At 51.8% G+C, this 16,755-nt stretch overlaps 1 protein-coding gene and 1 non-coding gene across 2 annotated transcripts, besides 3 other annotated features; both read left to right on the top strand.

The window, feature by feature from the left end:
- Window positions 1-4,698: 4,698 nt before the first annotated feature.
- GIP (gastric inhibitory polypeptide) lies at window positions 4,699-14,741 on the top strand. The gene is made up of 6 exons (NM_004123.3): window positions 4,699-4,778; window positions 6,042-6,148; window positions 8,815-8,985; window positions 11,476-11,568; window positions 12,308-12,409; window positions 14,579-14,741. The coding sequence occupies exons 2-6, from the start codon at window positions 6,063-6,065 to the stop codon at window positions 14,586-14,588; spliced, it is 462 nt and encodes a 153-aa protein (NP_004114.1). The 5' UTR covers window positions 4,699-4,778; window positions 6,042-6,062; the 3' UTR covers window positions 14,589-14,741.
- Window positions 6,112-6,612: an enhancer, noted in NCBI's record as "H3K4me1 hESC enhancer chr17:47044045-47044545 (GRCh37/hg19 assembly coordinates)". NCBI's record gives its function as "activates a minimal SCP1, AML or CMV promoter by ChIP-STARR-seq in naive H9 embryonic stem cells {active_cell/tissue: H9 hESC(naive)}" and the evidence as "EXISTENCE:reporter gene assay evidence [ECO:0000049][PMID:30033119]".
- Window positions 6,613-7,113: an enhancer, noted in NCBI's record as "H3K4me1 hESC enhancer chr17:47043544-47044044 (GRCh37/hg19 assembly coordinates)". NCBI's record gives its function as "activates a minimal SCP1, AML or CMV promoter by ChIP-STARR-seq in naive H9 embryonic stem cells {active_cell/tissue: H9 hESC(naive)}" and the evidence as "EXISTENCE:reporter gene assay evidence [ECO:0000049][PMID:30033119]".
- Window positions 8,245-8,794: an enhancer, noted in NCBI's record as "H3K27ac-H3K4me1 hESC enhancer chr17:47041863-47042412 (GRCh37/hg19 assembly coordinates)". NCBI's record gives its function as "activates a minimal SCP1, AML or CMV promoter by ChIP-STARR-seq in naive H9 embryonic stem cells {active_cell/tissue: H9 hESC(naive)}" and the evidence as "EXISTENCE:reporter gene assay evidence [ECO:0000049][PMID:30033119]".
- A 1,800-nt stretch (window positions 14,742-16,541) lies between the features above and the next one.
- Window positions 16,542-16,645, top strand: LOC124904116 (small nucleolar RNA U13). The gene has a single exon (XR_007065995.1). It is a non-coding gene; the product is annotated as a small nucleolar RNA U13 (small nucleolar RNA).
- The last annotated feature ends 110 nt before the right edge of the window (window positions 16,646-16,755 follow it).

Genomic DNA, 16,755 nt, shown 5'->3' with positions numbered 1-16,755 from the left:
CTGGGAGAGGACTTCCAAACTGCTTCAAACTGCTTGTAGCAGATGGCCATAAAGGCTATAGATAGCATATTCTTTTTTTTTTTTTTTTTTTTTTTTTTTTTTTGAGACGTACTTTCACTCTGTCATCCAGGCTGGAGGGCAGTGGCACGATCTCGGCTCACTGCAACCTCCTCTGCCCACTGGGTTCAAGTGATTCTCCTGTCTCAGCCTCCCAAGCAGCTGGGATTACAGGCGCCTGCCACCATACCTAGCTAATTTTTGTATTTTTAGTGGAGATGGTATTTCACCATGTTGGCTGGGCTGGTCTCAAATTCATGACCTCAAGTGATCCGTTCGCCCAGGCCTCCCAAAGTGCTGGGATTACAGGCGGGAACCACTGTGCCCGGCCATATATTCTTCTTGAAGACCCCTCTGGAAAGTATCTATCAGGACCTAAGGGAAATGCTGTCGGCAAAAATGTTTGGGAGCATGACTGTGTGTGTGATGTGACTGTGGGGAAAAGCTGGAGATAGTCCCTCTAAGCATCAGGATAGACCGGAGGACTTGGCAAAGTTGTTGGGCATCAAGTCACCTCTTGTTTCCTCCTCTGCCTAAGAAGAAATCTGTTGACTGGTGTGAGAGAAGCCAGAGAGGGAAGTCGGCTTTCTCAGTCAGCTGTGAGTTTGAAGACTAAGTGAACTTCAAAAGCAGGGTCCACGGCGGGGAGGCAGCAGCCAGCCCTCTGAGTCACCCTGACCTGGCTGCAGAGCTGGGCCAGAATGTCTGCGCCAGCGAGGGGGATGGGGATGGTGGTGGGGGTGGCGGTGAGTCACCAGTGGGGACTGGAAGAGCAAGCAAACCCCAGATGCTCTTCTGCTGTTACAGTTCTCATTCCTGAGGGCCCAGTCAGAACCCAGGAAGGGCTGGGAAATGGGACCCAGGGTTCTCTTGCGATGGCACTGCCCATCACCCCTTCTCTGAATCTCACTCCCCTGATTACCTAACTCCTGTAACACCTCAGAAACCCCCCAACCCAACCCAACACACTCTTTCTTTTTTTTGGCGGGGGATGGAGTCTCGCTCTGTCTCCCAGGCTGGAGTGCAGTGGAGTGATCTCAGCTCACTGCGACTTCTGCCTCCTGGGTTCAAGTGATTCTTCTGCCTCAGCCTCCCAAGTAGTGGGGACTATCGGCACTTATTGGCCAGGCTGGTCTCAAACTCCTGACCTTGTGATCTGCCCTCCTCGGCCTCCCAAAGTGCTGGGATTACAGGCGTGAGCCACTGTGCCGGGCCCCCACACACTCTTTCAACTTGTGTGGGTGTTGGGCTAGTTGGGGTGTCCTCCTGACCCCCATCCCCTGTGTCCTCTCTGACCCCTCACATGCTAGCAATTCTCCATAGTGAAATGGGAAGAGGGAGGCTCTGCTAATTCCAGAGCCTCCTCCTCCCCACCCCCAACCCCAAACCTGCACAGAACTCTGCACACCAGGGCGCTTCTCCTTATGGTGTGGACAGGCTGGCTTAACTGCCAGTTGGATTTATTAAATGATTTTGATCAAGTCCAGCAGGCTCTTCCAATCCTCAGAAACTTCCCAGGGTCATCTTTTCAATTTCCTGCCTCCCAATATGCCTTTTGGGGGAGCTGTGGAACCCCCTAGGAGTTTGGCTTCATCTCTGATCTCCCCTGGCCCTCCTCGCATATTCTGCTGCTTCTGGGGAGTGTGGAACTTGCAGACTTGAGCAGGAGCTCTAGGCTTGGGGGCCCTCCCCACATTCCCTGTTCCTGCCTGCCCTGCTCTTCCCTGCCTACAGGGTCCAGGACATATTCTCTCTTGTCTGTGCACTGCAGGGCATGAGGGCCAAAGATCAAAGAGAAATGGGGATGAGGCTGCAGAGAAGGGGGTGGGGTGGGGACTTAAAGTACACTTGCTTGGCCAGTCACGGTGGCTCACGCCTGTAATCCCAGCACTTTGTGAGGCCGAAGCGGGCGGATCACTTGAAGTCAGGAGCTCAAGACCAGCCTGGCCAACATGGTGAAACCCCATCTCTACTAAAAGTACAAAAATTAGTCGGGCATGGTGGTTCTTGCCTGTAATCCCAGCTACTCGGGAGGCTGAGGCGGGAGAATTGTTTGAACCGGAGGTGGAGGTTGCAGTGAGCTGAGATCGTGTCACTGCACTCCAGCTTAGGAGACAGAGTGAGACTCCGTCTCTAAATTAATAAACAAAATGAAGTACATTGGCCTTCAGAGCAGCCCACCCCCAAAACAAATCCACAGAGTACAAGGCAGGGGCTCATGGCTGCTAGAGCCCATCACAGAGCCTTCCTTGACTCCAATTTGGCCCCAGACTCAGGGTTCCCAGGGAATGTTGTCCACTTTTCTTGGATACTGTTGCCTCCAGGCAGGAGGCAGATTTGAACACAAGCCCTTCTGAGCTCATTAACTGTGTTGCTCAGCAGAAAACAAGATCACAAGCAGCCCTCACATCTCCCTTGGAGGTCAAATCTGAATCGACGTCTAATCTCTGCCCATTGGTAGCTGGGAGATGGAATTTGGAGAGCTTGCTAAGGGAGGAGTTTTTCTAGATGGTGGAGAATGGGTGGGTATGCAGAGGAGGTTTCCAGGAGGCAGAGGTAAGTGACCCTGCTAGTCCAGGTACCTCTCATCCCACACGCACACTTAATTTCATGCTGGATCTGCTCCTAGGCTAGGGTGTTCACCTGGAAAGGAAGGTGGCCTTTATTAGGACCTGGAGCTGATAGGCAGAGCATGAGCTTGGCTGTTTATGGTCCCAAGTACCCATGGCGGCGGCAGAGGAGGAGCCTGGAAAGAACGCCTTGGAGGTCTGCCAAAAATGCAATCTGTGCCCTGCCCCTTCTAGACTGAGAGCCCCTGTGGACAGAGCCATGTGCTAAGTACTTGGAGAAAGGCAAAGGGAGTATCCCAAGGAGTCTCCAGTCTGAGGGGGAGACACAGCCCTTAGCCTCAGAAAGCCTCAGTGTGCTGGGGGAACATCGCCTCCAGCTCTCCTCCTCCTCTCAGAGAGCTCCCAGGCAGATCAGGGACAGAAAGCCCCTGCCTTGGAGTGGCTCCTGTATAATAGAGAGGCACAGCATAACTCCAGGGTCTTCACTCTGATAGAAGAGACAGGATGACATACTTCTCTTGTACAGGACAGTAGGACATATGAGGAGAGGGGCTCCTAAATCTCTATAGATAAAGTTGTAACTACCCCACCCTCCTGTGAGCCCCTGAGGTACAAACATGTCTCTTTCTCCTGCTTTATCCTGCCCCTGAGCAGGAAGACAGCTTGAATGTATGTTCTCAGTTTATCCAGCTGTCCCTAGGAAACCCCGATCCTTCATATTCCCTCAACATTGAGCCCTTGGGACACCTCTCTAGATAATGTGATGGGGGCATTGCCACATCACCAAAGCCATAGGCCACTGTCCAGAGCTGGGATTCAGATGACTGTGGACCTACTCTCTCCCACCCAGAAGTAGCCTGTTGCCTTGTGGGAGTGTCCCCCTGCCAGTTAGTGCCACCCTACCCCAAGTCTGTCTTCACTACAAGTACCCTTTTTTATTTTTATTTTTATTTTTTGAGACAGAGTCTTGTTTTGTCACCCAGGCTGGAGTGCAGTGGCACGATCTTGGCTCACTACAACCTCTGCCTCCAGGTCTGGGTTCAAGCGATTCTCCTGCCTCAGCCTCCCAAGTAGCTGGGACTACAGGCACGTGCCACCATGCCTGGCTAATTTTTGTTTGTTTTTTTTTTTTTTGTTTGTTTGTTTGTTTTGAGATGGAGTCTCGCTCCGTCGCCCAGGCTGGCAGGCAGTGGCGCCATCTCGGCTCACTGCAACCTCCGCCTGCCGGGTTCACGCCATTCTCCTGCCTCAGCCTCCCGAGTAGCTGGGACTACAGGCACCTGCCAACATGCCCGGCTAATTTTTTGTGTTTTTAGTACAGACGGGGTTTCACTGTGTTAGCCAGGATGGTCTCGATCTCGTGACCTCGTGATCCACCCGCCTCGGCCTCCCAAAGTGCTGGGATTACAGGCGTGAGTCACTGCGCCCGGCCCCCTTTCTTTTTTCTTTTCTTTTTTTCTTTTTTGAGAGAGTCTCTCTTTGTTGCCCATGCTGGAGTGCAGTGAACTCGATCTTGGCTCACTGTAACTTCTGCCTCCCAGGTTCAAGTGATTCTCTTGCCTCAACCTCCCAAGTAGCTGGGATTACAGCCGTGCACGACCATGCCCAGCTAATTTTTGTATTTTTAGTAGAGACTGGGTTTCACCATGTTGGCCAGGCTGGTCTCGAACCCCTGACCTCAGGTGATCCGCCCGTGTCGTCCTCCCAAGCGCTGGGATTACAGACGTGATTCATCGCGCCTGGCCTACAAGTATCCCTTCTAACTGAGGGCAACTGTAAAGGAAGTAGGGCATAGAAGAATAGTAGTGGGCCCTGTGCCCAGAAGGGAGGAGGAGGAAGAAAAAAGGGGGTACTTAGGGTACCCTACCCACAGGCAGGCCCCAGACAGCAGCTGGAGATAGCCAAATGTTAATCACCAATTAGCACAGTTCAGGTGGAAAGGGCAACTCTATTATGTGTAAAATGGACTTAATGTGGCAGGAGCTGTGGGCTTAATTTCTTGAGATAAGATGCTTTTAGGCTAATCAGCAGGTCTATGCCTAATATAAAGGAGCTGGGGCATGATTTCTTCAGCAGGCTCAGAAGGTCCAGAAATCAGGGGAAGGAGACCCCTATCTGTCCTTCTTCTGGAAGAGCTGGAAAGGAAGTCTGGTAAGAGAAGTGGAGACAGGGATGGATGAGATGACCCGAGAGCAGATGGATCTTGGCAACCCTGAGATGCTCAGCAGCCCTGGCATCTTAGTTTTCTCTTCCTCTATATGAGATGTGAGAAGATAGTCAGGTGCGGTGCCTCATGCCTGTAATCCCAATACTTTGGGAGCCGAGGTAGGAGGATCATTTGAGCACAGGAGTTCAAGACCAGCCTGGGCAATGGAGGGAAACTCGATCTCTACACATAATTTAAAAAATTAGCTGGGCATGGTGGTACATGCCTGCGGTTCTAGGTACTCGGGAGGGTGAAGTGAAAGGTTTGCCTGAGCCCAGGAGGTCGAGGCTGCAGTGAGCCACGATTGTGTCACTGCACTCCAACCCGGGTGACAGAGCGAAACCCTGTCTCAAAAAAAGAGAAAGAGAAATGAGAAGGTAGCGCTGATGTTTCCTTTATTTATTTATTTAGAGATGGAGTCTCGCTCTGTCACCCAGGCTGGAGTGCACTGGCGCAATCTCGGCTCACTGCAACCTCTTCCTCCCAGGTTCAAGCGATTCTCATGCCTCAGCCTCCTGAATAGCTGGGATCACAGGCGCGCACCACCACACCTGGCTAATCTTTGTCTTTTATGTAGAGACAGGATTTCACCATATTGGCCAGGCTGGTCTCAAACTCCTGACCTCAAGTGATCCGCCCACCTGGGCCTCCCAAAGTGCTGGGATTGCAGGCATGAGCCACTGCACCCAGCCTGGTCCATCTTTTGGTAAGATTCCATGTCCCTTCTAGTCACTAACTCCAGTGCACAGCACCCCTCATCTTCCCCCATGGTGTTGCCCCAGGCTCTTAGAAAAGGTCCAAACTGGCAAGGCGCGATGGCTCACGCCTGTTATCCCAGCACTTTGGGAGGCCCAGGTGGGCAGATCACAAGGTCAGGAGTTCGAGACCAGCCTGGCCAATATGGTGAAACCCTGTCTCTACTAAAAATACAAAAATTAGCCGGGAGTGGTGGCACATGCCTGTAGTCCAGGCTACTCGAGAGGCTGAGGCAGAAGAATGGCTTGAACCCAGGAGGTGGAGGTTGCAGTGAGCCAAGATTGTGCCACTGCACTCCCACCTGGACGACAGAGCGAGACTCCATCTCAAAAAAAAAAAAAAAAAAGAAAAAGGAAAAGAAAGGGTCCAAACCTCAGGGCTTTGCCCCTCTCCAGCTTTCAGAACCCCTACTGGTTGCTCTCTCAACATGTCCTGGCTTTTTTCTGTCTTAGCTCAGGAAATAACCTTGGAAGATGGTGGCCACGAAGACCTTTGCTCTGCTGCTGCTGTCCCTGTTCCTGGCAGTGGGACTAGGAGAGAAGAAAGAGGGTCACTTCAGGTAGGAGTGGTGAGAGGAAAGGGATGGGGCAGAGGAGGGGTTAGGGGATGACAGGTTCTGGATTTGTTTCTAGGGGGAGATGAGAAAGGGAAGGAATCCAGGCTAAGAGGTAGGAAGCTCCAGGGAAATACCTGCCGGCAGCGTGAGTGCAAAGTGAGCACTGAGCCAGAGAGGATTTATTGTGTGCTGCTGTTACAGTGGGAGAGACTATGGTTAGATCTCTGGCGGGACTTCCTGGTGGTTAATTGTCCGAAGATGACAGAATCTCCCTTCCCAATAAATGTTTTATTCATTTATGCATGTTTGCTTCTTTCTTTTCTTTTTTTCTTTTTTCTTTTTTTGAGACAGGATCTTGCCCTGTCGCCCAGGCTGGAGTGCAGTGGCGTGATCGCAGCTCACTGCAGCCTCTGCCTGCCAGGCTCAAGCATCTTCCCATCTCAGCCTCCCGAGCAGCTAGGACCACAGGCATGTACCACCACGCTCGGCTAGTTTTTGAATTTTTTGTAGAGATGAGGTTTCGCCATGTTACCCAGGCTTATGAATGCATTCTTTTTTTTTTCTATTCTTTTCTTTTTCTTTTTTTTTGGGGGGGGATGGAGTCTCGCTCTGTCACCTAGGCTGGAGTGTGGTGGCACAATCTCGGCTCACTACAACCTCTGCCTCCTGGGTTCAAGCAATTTTCCCTGCCTCAGCTTACCGAGTAGCTGGGATTACAGGTGCCCACCACCACACCCGGCTAATTTTTGTACTTTTAGTAGAGATGGGGTTTCACTATGTTGGTCAGGCTGGTCTCGAACTCCTGACCTTAGATGATCCATCCACCTTGGCCTCCCAAAGCGCTGGGATTGAAGGCATGTAATCCCTGTGCCTGGCCCTTTTTTTTTTTTTTTTAATTGGAGTCTCACTTTCTCACCCAGGCTGGAGTGCACTGGCGCGATCTTGGCTCACTGCAACCTCCGCCTCCCGGGTTCAAGCAATTCTCTGCTTTAGCCTCCCAAGCAGCTGGGATTACAGGCACCTGCCACCACGCCCGGCTAACTTTTGTATTTTTAGTAGAGATGGGGTTTCACCATCTTGGCCATGCTGGTCTTGAACTCCTGACCTCGTGATCCACCTGCTTGGACCTCCCAAAGTGCTAGGATTACAGGCGTGAGCCACTGCGCCTGGCCTGTATCATGTAGATGTTAAGAACATAGATCTGAGCCCAGATGGCCTGGGGTAAATCCTGGATCTGTTACCTATACGGAGTGGCAGATAATAAGACAATAATAAGGTAATCTCTGCACCTTGGTTTCTCCATTCACAAAATGGGGATATAAATAGAACCTACCTCATAGGATGTTGTGAGGATGAAATTATTTTATGGATTCAAGGGCTTACACAGTGCTTCTCAGAGCTTTCGTATGAGTTGACTATTGTTATGGAATGTGAACCAAGGAATTGAATCAGGAAGGGCCAGGGCAGGAGGAATAAAGGAGGGAATTGTGTGACTCAGTCTTTTCAGATGAGGGGACCCCGATCCCTTTTTTTTTTTTTTTTTTTGAGATGGAGTCTCCCTTTGTCACCTAGGCTGGAGTGCAGTGGCGCGATCTCCGATTACTGCAAGCAGCGCCTCCTGGGTTCACGCCATTCTCCTGCCTCAGCCTCCCAAGTAGCTGGGACTACAGGCGCCTGCCACCACGCCTGGCTAATTTTTTTGTATTTTTAGTAGAGACGGGGTTTCACCATGTTAGCCAGGATGGTCTCAATCTCCTGACTTTGTGATCCACCCACCTTGGCCTCCCAGAGTGCTGGGATTACAGGCGTGAGCCACCGCACCCAGCCTTTTTTTTTTTTTTTTTTATTGAGACGAAGTTTTGCTCTTGTTCCCCAGGCTGGAGTGCAATGGCACGATTTCAGCTCACTGCAACCTCCACCTCCCAGGTTCAAGTGATTCTCCTGCCTCAGCCTCCTGAGTAGCTGGGATTACAGGCATGTGCCACCACGCCTGGCTAATTTTTTTTTTTTTGAGACGGAGTCTCGCTCTGTCTCCCAGGCTGGAGTGCACTGGCGCAATCTCAGCTCACTGCAAGCTCCGCCTCCCGGGTTCACGCCATTCTCCTGCCTCAGCCTCCCGAGTAGCCGGGGCTACAGGCGCCCACCACCATGCCTGGCTAATTTTTTGTATTTTTAGTAGAGACGGGGTTTCACTGTGTTAGCCAGGATGGTCTCGATCTCCTGACCTTGTAATCCGCCCGCCTCAGCCTCCCAAAGTGCTGGGATTACAGGCGTAAGCCACCACGCCCTGCCAACGCCTGGCTAATTTTTGTATTATTAGTAGAGACGGGATTTCTCCATGTTGGTCAGGCTGGTCTCGATCCCGACCTCAGGTGATCCGCCTGCCTTGGCCTCCCAAAGTGTTGGGATTACAGGCATGAGCCACCGCCCCTGGCCCCGTGATCTCTTTTTGCCCAGAATCCAGAGCCACACACACTGAGGCTGCAGGAAGTGGGCCCTGGAGCTGAGGATAAAGCCTGGGGTGGGGTGGGGGAGTGGATCCACAGGGAGTCTCCATAAAAACGGACTGGTTTGTTTTCAAGTGTCTGCCTCCTGTTAGTGACAGTCATTTACCCTAGCATTGTGATTCTCCCCCCATCTCTGCCCCTTCTCCGCACCCTTGTTTCCAGCGCTCTCCCCTCCCTGCCTGTTGGATCTCATGCTAAGGTGAGCAGCCCTCAACCTCGAGGCCCCAGGTACGCGGAAGGGACTTTCATCAGTGACTACAGTATTGCCATGGACAAGATTCACCAACAAGACTTTGTGAACTGGCTGCTGGCCCAAAAGGGGAAGAAGAATGAGTGAGTCGCTGCTTACACTCCTCCTGTTCCCTGTGCCGGGCTCTGCCTTCCTACCTTCAGAGGAGGCCACCGGCTGTGGCCACACAGGCCACATGATGCACAACCCCAGGTGGCACCTTTCTTTTTCTTTTCTTTTTTTTTTTTTTTTTTGAGATGGAGTCTCACTCTTTCGCCCAGGCTGGAGTGCAGTGGCGCGATCTCGGCTCACTGCAAGCTCCGCCTCCCGGGTTCACGCCATTCTCCTGCCTCAGCCTCCTGAGTAGCTGGGACTACAGGCAACTGCCACCATGCCCGGCTAATTTTTTTTTTTTTTTGTATTTTCAGTAGATACGGGGTTTCACCGTGTTAGCTAGGATGGTCTCGATCTGACCTCGTGATCCACCTGCCTCGGCCTCCCAAGTGCTGGGATTACAGGCGTGAGCCACCATACCCCGCCTCTCTCTCTCTTTTTTTTTTTTTTTTTTTTTTGAGACAGAGTTTTGCTCTTGTTGCCCAGGCTGGAGTGCAATGGCGCAATCTTTGCTCACTACAACCTCCACCCTCCACCTCCTGGATTCAAGCGATTCTCCTGCCTCAGCCTCCCGAGTAGCTAGGATTACAGGCATGTGCCACCACGCCTGGCTAATTTTGTATTTTTTTGTTGTTCTTTTGAGACGAAGTCTAGCTCTGTTGCCCAGGCTGGAGTGCAGTGGCTCGATCTTGGCTCACTGCAACTTCCACCTCCTGGGTTCAAGCGATTCTTCTGCCTCAGCCTCCTGAGTAGCTGGGACTACAGGTACGCGCCACCATACCTGGCTAATTTTTTTTTTTTTTTTCAGTAGAGACAGGGTTTCACCATGTTGACCAGTCTGGTTCTCAAACTCCTGACCTCGTGATCCGCCCACCTCAGCCTCCCAAAGTGCTGGGATTACAGGCATAAGCCACTGCGCCTGGCCTAATTTTGTATTTTTAGTAGAGACGGGGTTCCATGTTGGTCAGGCAGGTCTCGAACTCCTGACCTCAGGTGATCCACCTGCCTTGGCCTCCCAAAGTGCTGGGATTACAGGTGTGAGCCACCACACCCAGCCTGGGTGGCACCTTTCACCAGGCAAGGATGGGGAGTCAGACATGGTAGCTCTGGCCAGGACCCTGACTTGGGCACCAGTCTAGGCTAGGGGTAGGGACCAGGGCTATTCCCTAATCCTTTACTTCTTTTTTTTTGAGACGGATTTTTTTTGCTCTGTCACCCAGGCTGGAGTGCAGTGGCACAATCTTGGCTCACTGCAAGCTCCGCCTCCCGGGTTCACGTCATTCTCCTGCCTCAGCCTCCTGAGTAGCTGGGACTACAGGTGCCCGCCACCATGCACGGATAATTTTTTTGCATTTTTTTAGTAGAGACGGGGCTTCACCGTGTTGGCCTGGATGGTCTCGATCTCCTGACCTCGTGATCTGCCCTCCTCGGCCTCCCAAAGTGCTGGGATTACAAGTGTGAGCCACTGTGTTGGCCCTAATCCTTTACTTCAAAGGGGAGGAGTCAGAAGATGTATGGGAGCTCAGAGAGGATCCCCAGGGGTCTGAGGATGAAGCAAGGGAGAGACGAGCTCCTTCTAATGACTGCTTGCTTGGCGGTGGCCACTTTAGACTTTGAAAACAGGATTGGCTAGGGCCAGGCCCAGTAGCTCACACCTGTAATCCCAGCACTTTGGGAGGCTGAGGCGGGCAAATCACGAGGTCAGGAGCTTGAGGCCCTCCTGGCCAACATGGTGAAATCCCGTCTCTACTAAAAATACAAAGATTAGCTGGGTGTGGTGGCACGTGCCTGTAATTCCAGCTACTCGGGAGGCTGAGGCATGAGAATTGCTTGAACCCTGGAGGCGGACGTTGCAGTGAGCTGAGATTGCACCACTGCACCCCAGCCTGGCAACAGAGCGAGACTCCGTCTCAAAGAAAAAGGAAAGAAAATAGGATTGGCTGTTCATGGTGGCTCACACCTGTAATCCCAGCACTTTGGGAGGCCCAGGTAGGTGGATTGTTTGAGCTCACGAGTTCATTCGAGAACAGCCTGGGCAACATGGCAAACAAAAAGTACAAAAATCAGCTGGGTGTGGTGATGCCTGCCTGTAGTTTCAGCTACTCGGGAGGCTGAGATGGGAAGATGGCTTCAGCCTGGGAGGCAGAGGTTGCAGTGAGCTGAGATGGTGCCCCTGCACTCCAGCCTGGGCAATACAGCCAGACCCTGTCTCTCACACACACACCAAAAAAAATGAAGAGAAGATTAACTGTCCTCGTCCTTCTCCCTGCTCTATGCCAAGTCTCTTTCCCCGCCCTCTCTGGTCAGCACGGTAGATTCTGAAAAGCTGTTCACTGGTGGAGGCAGCTGAAGACCACTGTTAGGTGGGGTTGAGTGGAAAAAGGTACCCTCTGCTTTTGGGGTTCAGATATTAAAAGATTCAAGTGTCCCTAGACTGGAGTCTCCGCAGCTTGCCCACTCTCTAATCTTTATCTTCCCAGCTGGAAACACAACATCACCCAGAGGGAGGCTCGGGCGCTGGAGCTGGCCAGTCAAGCTAATAGGAAGGAGGAGGAGGCAGTGGAGCCACAGAGGTGAGTCAGGGCGCAGAGGGAAGGGAGGGAGCCAAGCCTCCTGCCCCGCCCCCACCTCTTTGTTCCCTCTCCCTGACCCCAGAGCAGAGCAAGGACCTGAGATAAGCATCCTCTTCCTCTCAGAGTTCAAAGAGGGGTCTTCATTGAGCAAACTCCTGGAGGTCAGCCCAAGCTTAAGGAAGAAGCCTTGGAGAAACGGGAGGGGTGCTAGGAGGGGTTTCAGGGACAGGGTTTCTAATATTGATGACTGCATGCACAGCACAGTCACTGAGTCAGGAGAAGGGCAGGAAAGAAGAGACCTCAGGTCCTGGCCTCACCACCTCTCCCTGCCAAACCTCGGGAAGACTGTTTGTGAAAGAGCGGGGGATCTTCCCAGGCCCACTCCCCTGAAATCAGTTATCCCCTCTCTGAATGGCACAGGTCATTTCAAAGAGTGAATGTGCCCAAAGTACTCTCTGCATTCTGGAACACTGGCAGAGGTGGATGGGCAGAATATCTCATACCAGAATTCTGTTTGACTCTCCCTGTATGAAGAGTCCATATTCCCCAGGCAGGCAGCGCTGGGTGGGGCTGGCAGAAAGGAGGCTCCAGATCTCAGAGCTGAGCCAACGGAGAGATAGCTGTGTCGGCTCCCTCCCCCCATCCGCGGCTGCCCCTCAGTGGTGTCCCCAACCCTGTGTTTACCCTCTCTGGGCGAAGCTCAGGCTAAAATAGTTAGCCAGAGACTGTTCCCTTGCAGCTCCCCAGCCAAGAACCCCAGCGATGAAGATTTGCTGCGGGACTTGCTGATTCAAGAGCTGTTGGCCTGCTTGCTGGATCAGACAAACCTCTGCAGGCTCAGGTAGGGGAGTGTGGTGTTGCACAGCGGTTCTAACTTGAGCTTGGGCATCAGACATGGATTCAGATCTTTGCCCCTCCACATGCTGGCTGATTACATAGCCTTTCTGAACCTCAGTGTTTTCACTAAAATCAGAGGTATAGAATCATTTCACAGGATTGTTGTCAGCTTTAAGTAAGAGAATGCAAGTGGAAAAATACAAAGAAAAAAAACAAAAGAAAAAAAAGACAATTCAAGTGGAGACCTGAGGGCCATCTTTGAGGAGTAATAAGAGCTCAGCAAGGTTAGTAGCTCTGATTACTATTTGTTCTTCTTCCTCACTCTTCCAGGCGAGGTGATGCTCTCCCCTGCCTATCCCTACCTGCCTGTCTCTACCCACCCAGAGCCCATCCTATGCCCCGCCTGTCCCTACCCACCGAGCTGAGCCCATCCTGTGTCCCGCCTGTCCCTACACACAGAGCTGAGCCCATCCTGTGGCCTGCCTGTCCCTACACACAGAGCTGAGCCCATCCTGTGTCCCGCCTGTCCCTACCCACCGAGCTGAGCCCATCCTGTGTCCCGCCTGTCCCTACACACAGAGCTGAGCCCATCCTGTGTCCCGCCTGTCCCTACCCACCGAGCTGAGCCCATCCTGTGGCCTGCCTGTCCCTACACACAGAGCTGAGCCCATCCTATGTCCCGCCTGTCCCTACCCACCGAGCTGAGCCCATCCTGTGGCCTGCCTGTCCCTACCCACCGAGCTGAGCCCATCCTGTGTCCCGCCTGTCCCTACCCACCGAGCTGAGCCCATCCTGTGTCCCGCCTGTCCCTACACACAGAGCTGAGCCCATCCTGTGGCCCGCCTGTCCCTACCCACCGAGCTGAGCCCATCCTGTGGCCTGCCTGTCCCTACCCACCGAGCTGAGCCCATCCTGTGTCCCGCCTGTCCCTACCCACCGAGCTGAGCCCATCCTGTGGCCTGCCTGTCCCTACCCACCGAGCTGAGCCCATCCTGTGGCCTGCCTGTCCCTACACACAGAGCTGAGCCCATCCTGTGGCCTGCCTGTCCCTACCCACCGAGCTGAGCCCATCCTGTGTCCCGCCTGTCCCTACCCACCGAGCTGAGCCCATCCTGTGTCCTGCCTGTCCCTACACACAGAGCTGAGCCCATCCTGTTCTCAGCTTTCCCTCTGTACCCTTGGGCCATGGCACCTTCCTGGTGATGGGAAACTACATAGTTAGAGGCATGTTTCCTTCCTCTGTGGCCACTGCTGGCTTCAATGGTCTCTTGAATCCCCCTCATCAGCTAGAAAATTCTTCAGTCCATTCCTTATGTCCCAGAATCGAGGCACTAAATATTATGAAGACACCTGTCCACCTAAAGGGTGAGACAGGACCCTCATGATGCAGACACAGAGGCACGGAAACCAAAACACTTCAGACATTGATGCTGAGCAGCTAGGGAGGGATTGAGGGAGCAAATCTGGGACAGGAACCTCAGGAGGGGAAGAAGGGACAGGAGTGTGAGCAGATCCATGGAGAAGAGGGTGTAAGAAAATCTCCGTAAGAAGGTGGATATTGTGAATTATTTTGATTACTTATCATTAAAATGGTGATTTGATGAGGCAAAGGTGGGAGCATTGCTTGAGGCCAGGAGTTCAAGACTGCAGTGATCTATGATCACATCTGTAAACAGTCACTGCACTCCAGCTTGGGCACCACAGTGAGACTGTCTCTTAAAAAATAAGTAAAATGAGGCCGGGTATGGTGGCTCATGCCTGTAATCCCAGGACTTTGGGAGGCCGAGGAGGGTGGATCATGAGGTCAGGAGATCGAGACCATCCTGGCTAACACAGTGAAACCCTGTCTCTATTAAAAATACAAAAAATTAGCTGGGCGTGGAGGCGGGCGCCTGTAGTCCCAGCTACTCGGGAGGCTGAGGCAGGAGAATGGCGTGAACCCAGGAGGTGGAGCTTGCGGTGAGCCGAGATCGCGCCACTGCACTCCAGCCTGGGCGACAGAGCGAGACTCCGTCTCAAAAAAAAAAAAAAAAGTAAATTGATAAAAATTAAAATATTTAAAAAGGTGATTTGAAGGTAGGAGGGGTTCAACAATGGTTGGGTCCCAGGATAAATGTGCTTGGCCGACTCCAAGTCCATAACAACCTTCTTCTCCTTTCCCCACTCTCCCCAGGTCTCGGTGACTCTGACCACACCCAGCTCAGGACTGGATTCTGCCCTTCACTTAGCACCTGCCTCAGCCCCACTCCAGAATAGCCAAGAGAACCCAAACCAATAAAGTTTATGCTAAGTCGAGCCCATTGTGAAAATTTATTAAAATGACTACTGAGCACTAACAGGGCATGTTTGTCTTTGTGTATCTCTGTGTGTGGGCACCACCCAATGAAAAGGAAATATGGTCTGGGCATGGTGGCATATGCCTGTAATCCCAGTACTCTGGGAGGCTGAGTCTGGAGGATTCGCTTAACCCCAGAAGTTCGAGACTAACCTGGGTAACAGAGTGAGACCCCATCTTTTTTTTTTTTTTTGAGATGGAGTCGCACTCTGTCGTCCAGGCTGGAGTGCAATGGTGCAATCTCGGCTCACTGCAACCTCTGCCTCCTGGGTTCAAGTGATTCTCCTGCCTCAGCCTCCCGAGTAGCTGGGATTACAGGCGCCCACCACCACGCCTGGCTAAATTTTTTTTTTTTTTTTGAGATGGAGTCTTGCTTTTGTTACCCAGGCTGGATGGAGTGCAATGGTGAGATCTCAGCTCACTGCAGCTTCTGCCTCCCAGGTTCAATTGATTCTTTTGCCTCAGCCTCCCGAGTAGCTGGGATTACAAGCATGCGCCACCACGCCTGGCTAATTTTGTATTTTTAGTAGAGATGGGGTTTCTCCATGTTGGTCAGGCTGGTCTCGAACTCCCGACCTCAAGTGATCCGCCTGCCTCTGTCTCCCAAAGTGCTGGGATTAAAGGCATGAGCCACTGCGCTAGGCCTAATTTTTTATTTTTAGTAGAGACGAGGTTTCGCCATGTTGGCCAGGCTGGTCTTGGAACTCTTGGCCTCAGGTGATGCGCCTGCCTCGGCCTCCCAAAGTGCTGGCATTATAGGCATGAGCCATCGTACCTGCCTGAGACCCTGTCTTTAAAATAAGAAATAAAAAGAGGGCCGGGTATGGTGGCGCAAGCCTGTCATCCCAACAATTTGGGAGCTTGAGGTGGGCAGATCACCTGAGGTCAGGAGTTTGAGACCAGCCTGGCCAACATGGCAAAACCTCGTCTCTACTAAATATATAAAAATTAGCTGGGCATGATGACAGGCACCTGTAGTCCCAGCTACTCAGGAGGCTGAGGCAGGAGAATCGCTTTGACCCAGGAGGCAGAGGTTGCAGTGAGCTGAGATTGCGCCACTGCACTCCAACCTGGGTAACACAGCAAGACTGTGTCACATACAAAAAAAGAAAAGAAAAGAAAAGGATCATTTGAGGTCAGGAATTTGAGACCAGCCTGGCCAACATGGTGAAACCCTGTCTTTACTAAAAATACAAAAAAAAAAAAAAAAAAAAAAAAGAACCAGGCGTGGTGGTGCACGCTTGTAATCCCAGCTAATCGAGAGGTTGAAACATGAGAATCACTTGAACCCAGGAAGCAGAGGTTGCAGTGAGCTGAGATCACACCACTGCACTACATCCGGCCTGGGTGACAAAGTGAGACCCTGTCTCCAAAAAAAAAAAAAAAAAAAGAAAAGAAAAGGAAATATGGTTTTTACTTGCATCTGTTAATTCATCTATTTATTCTACAAACACTTATTGGAAAGTTAATATTGGCAGGGCTGTGCTAAACACTGTGTATACAGCAATGAAGAAAATGGACACAATCCTTGCCCCCGAAGAGCTTAAAGTCTGGTGACAAAGACCTCTAGTTTTTTTGTGGTTTTGTTTGTTTTACTGGGAGAGTCTTGCTGTGTTACCCATGCTGGGGTACAGTGCTGTAATCATAGCTCACTGCAACCCCGAGCTCCTGGGCTTAAGCGATCTTGCCACTTCAGCCTCCCGAGTAGCTGGGAGAAGTTGGGACTACAGGCATGTGCCGCCAAGCCCAATTAACCAGAAAAGAAAAAAAAATCTGTGTAGAGAAAAGGTCTGATCCTCTGATCCTTTTGTAGTGCATGAGTGTGATGATTGGGTGTTAACGGGCATGTGTGAGATGTGCCACCCTTGAACCTTGTTACAATGTTGGCTCATTACCCTTCTGACATGAAGAAAAGAAAAAAAAGATAGAAAAAAGGAGTCTCGGCTGGACATGGTGGCTCACGCCTGTAATCCCAGCACTTTGGGAGGCGGAGGTGGGCAGATCACCTGAGGTCA

The sequence above is a fragment of the Homo sapiens genome, chromosome 17 (assembly GCF_000001405.40).
Source record: "Homo sapiens chromosome 17, GRCh38.p14 Primary Assembly".
Taxonomy (NCBI): domain Eukaryota; kingdom Metazoa; phylum Chordata; class Mammalia; order Primates; family Hominidae; genus Homo; species Homo sapiens.
The sequence above is the reverse complement of the archived record's forward strand: the minus strand, read 5'-3'. Positions and strand labels throughout refer to the sequence as shown.

What these genes read in the sequence shown, in the direction of transcription:
- GIP (NM_004123.3), top strand. Translation starts at nt 6,063, where the DNA reads ATGGTGGCCACGAAGACCTTTGCTCTGCTGCTGCTGTCCCTGTTCCTG. An exon ending in CAAAAGGGGAAGAAGAATGA is followed by an intron (nt 8,986 to 11,475) that starts GTGAGTCGCTGC and finishes TTATCTTCCCAG; the next exon opens with CTGGAAACACAACATCACCC. An exon ending in GAGGCAGTGGAGCCACAGAG is followed by an intron (nt 11,569 to 12,307) that starts GTGAGTCAGGGC and finishes GTTCCCTTGCAG; the next exon opens with CTCCCCAGCCAAGAACCCCA.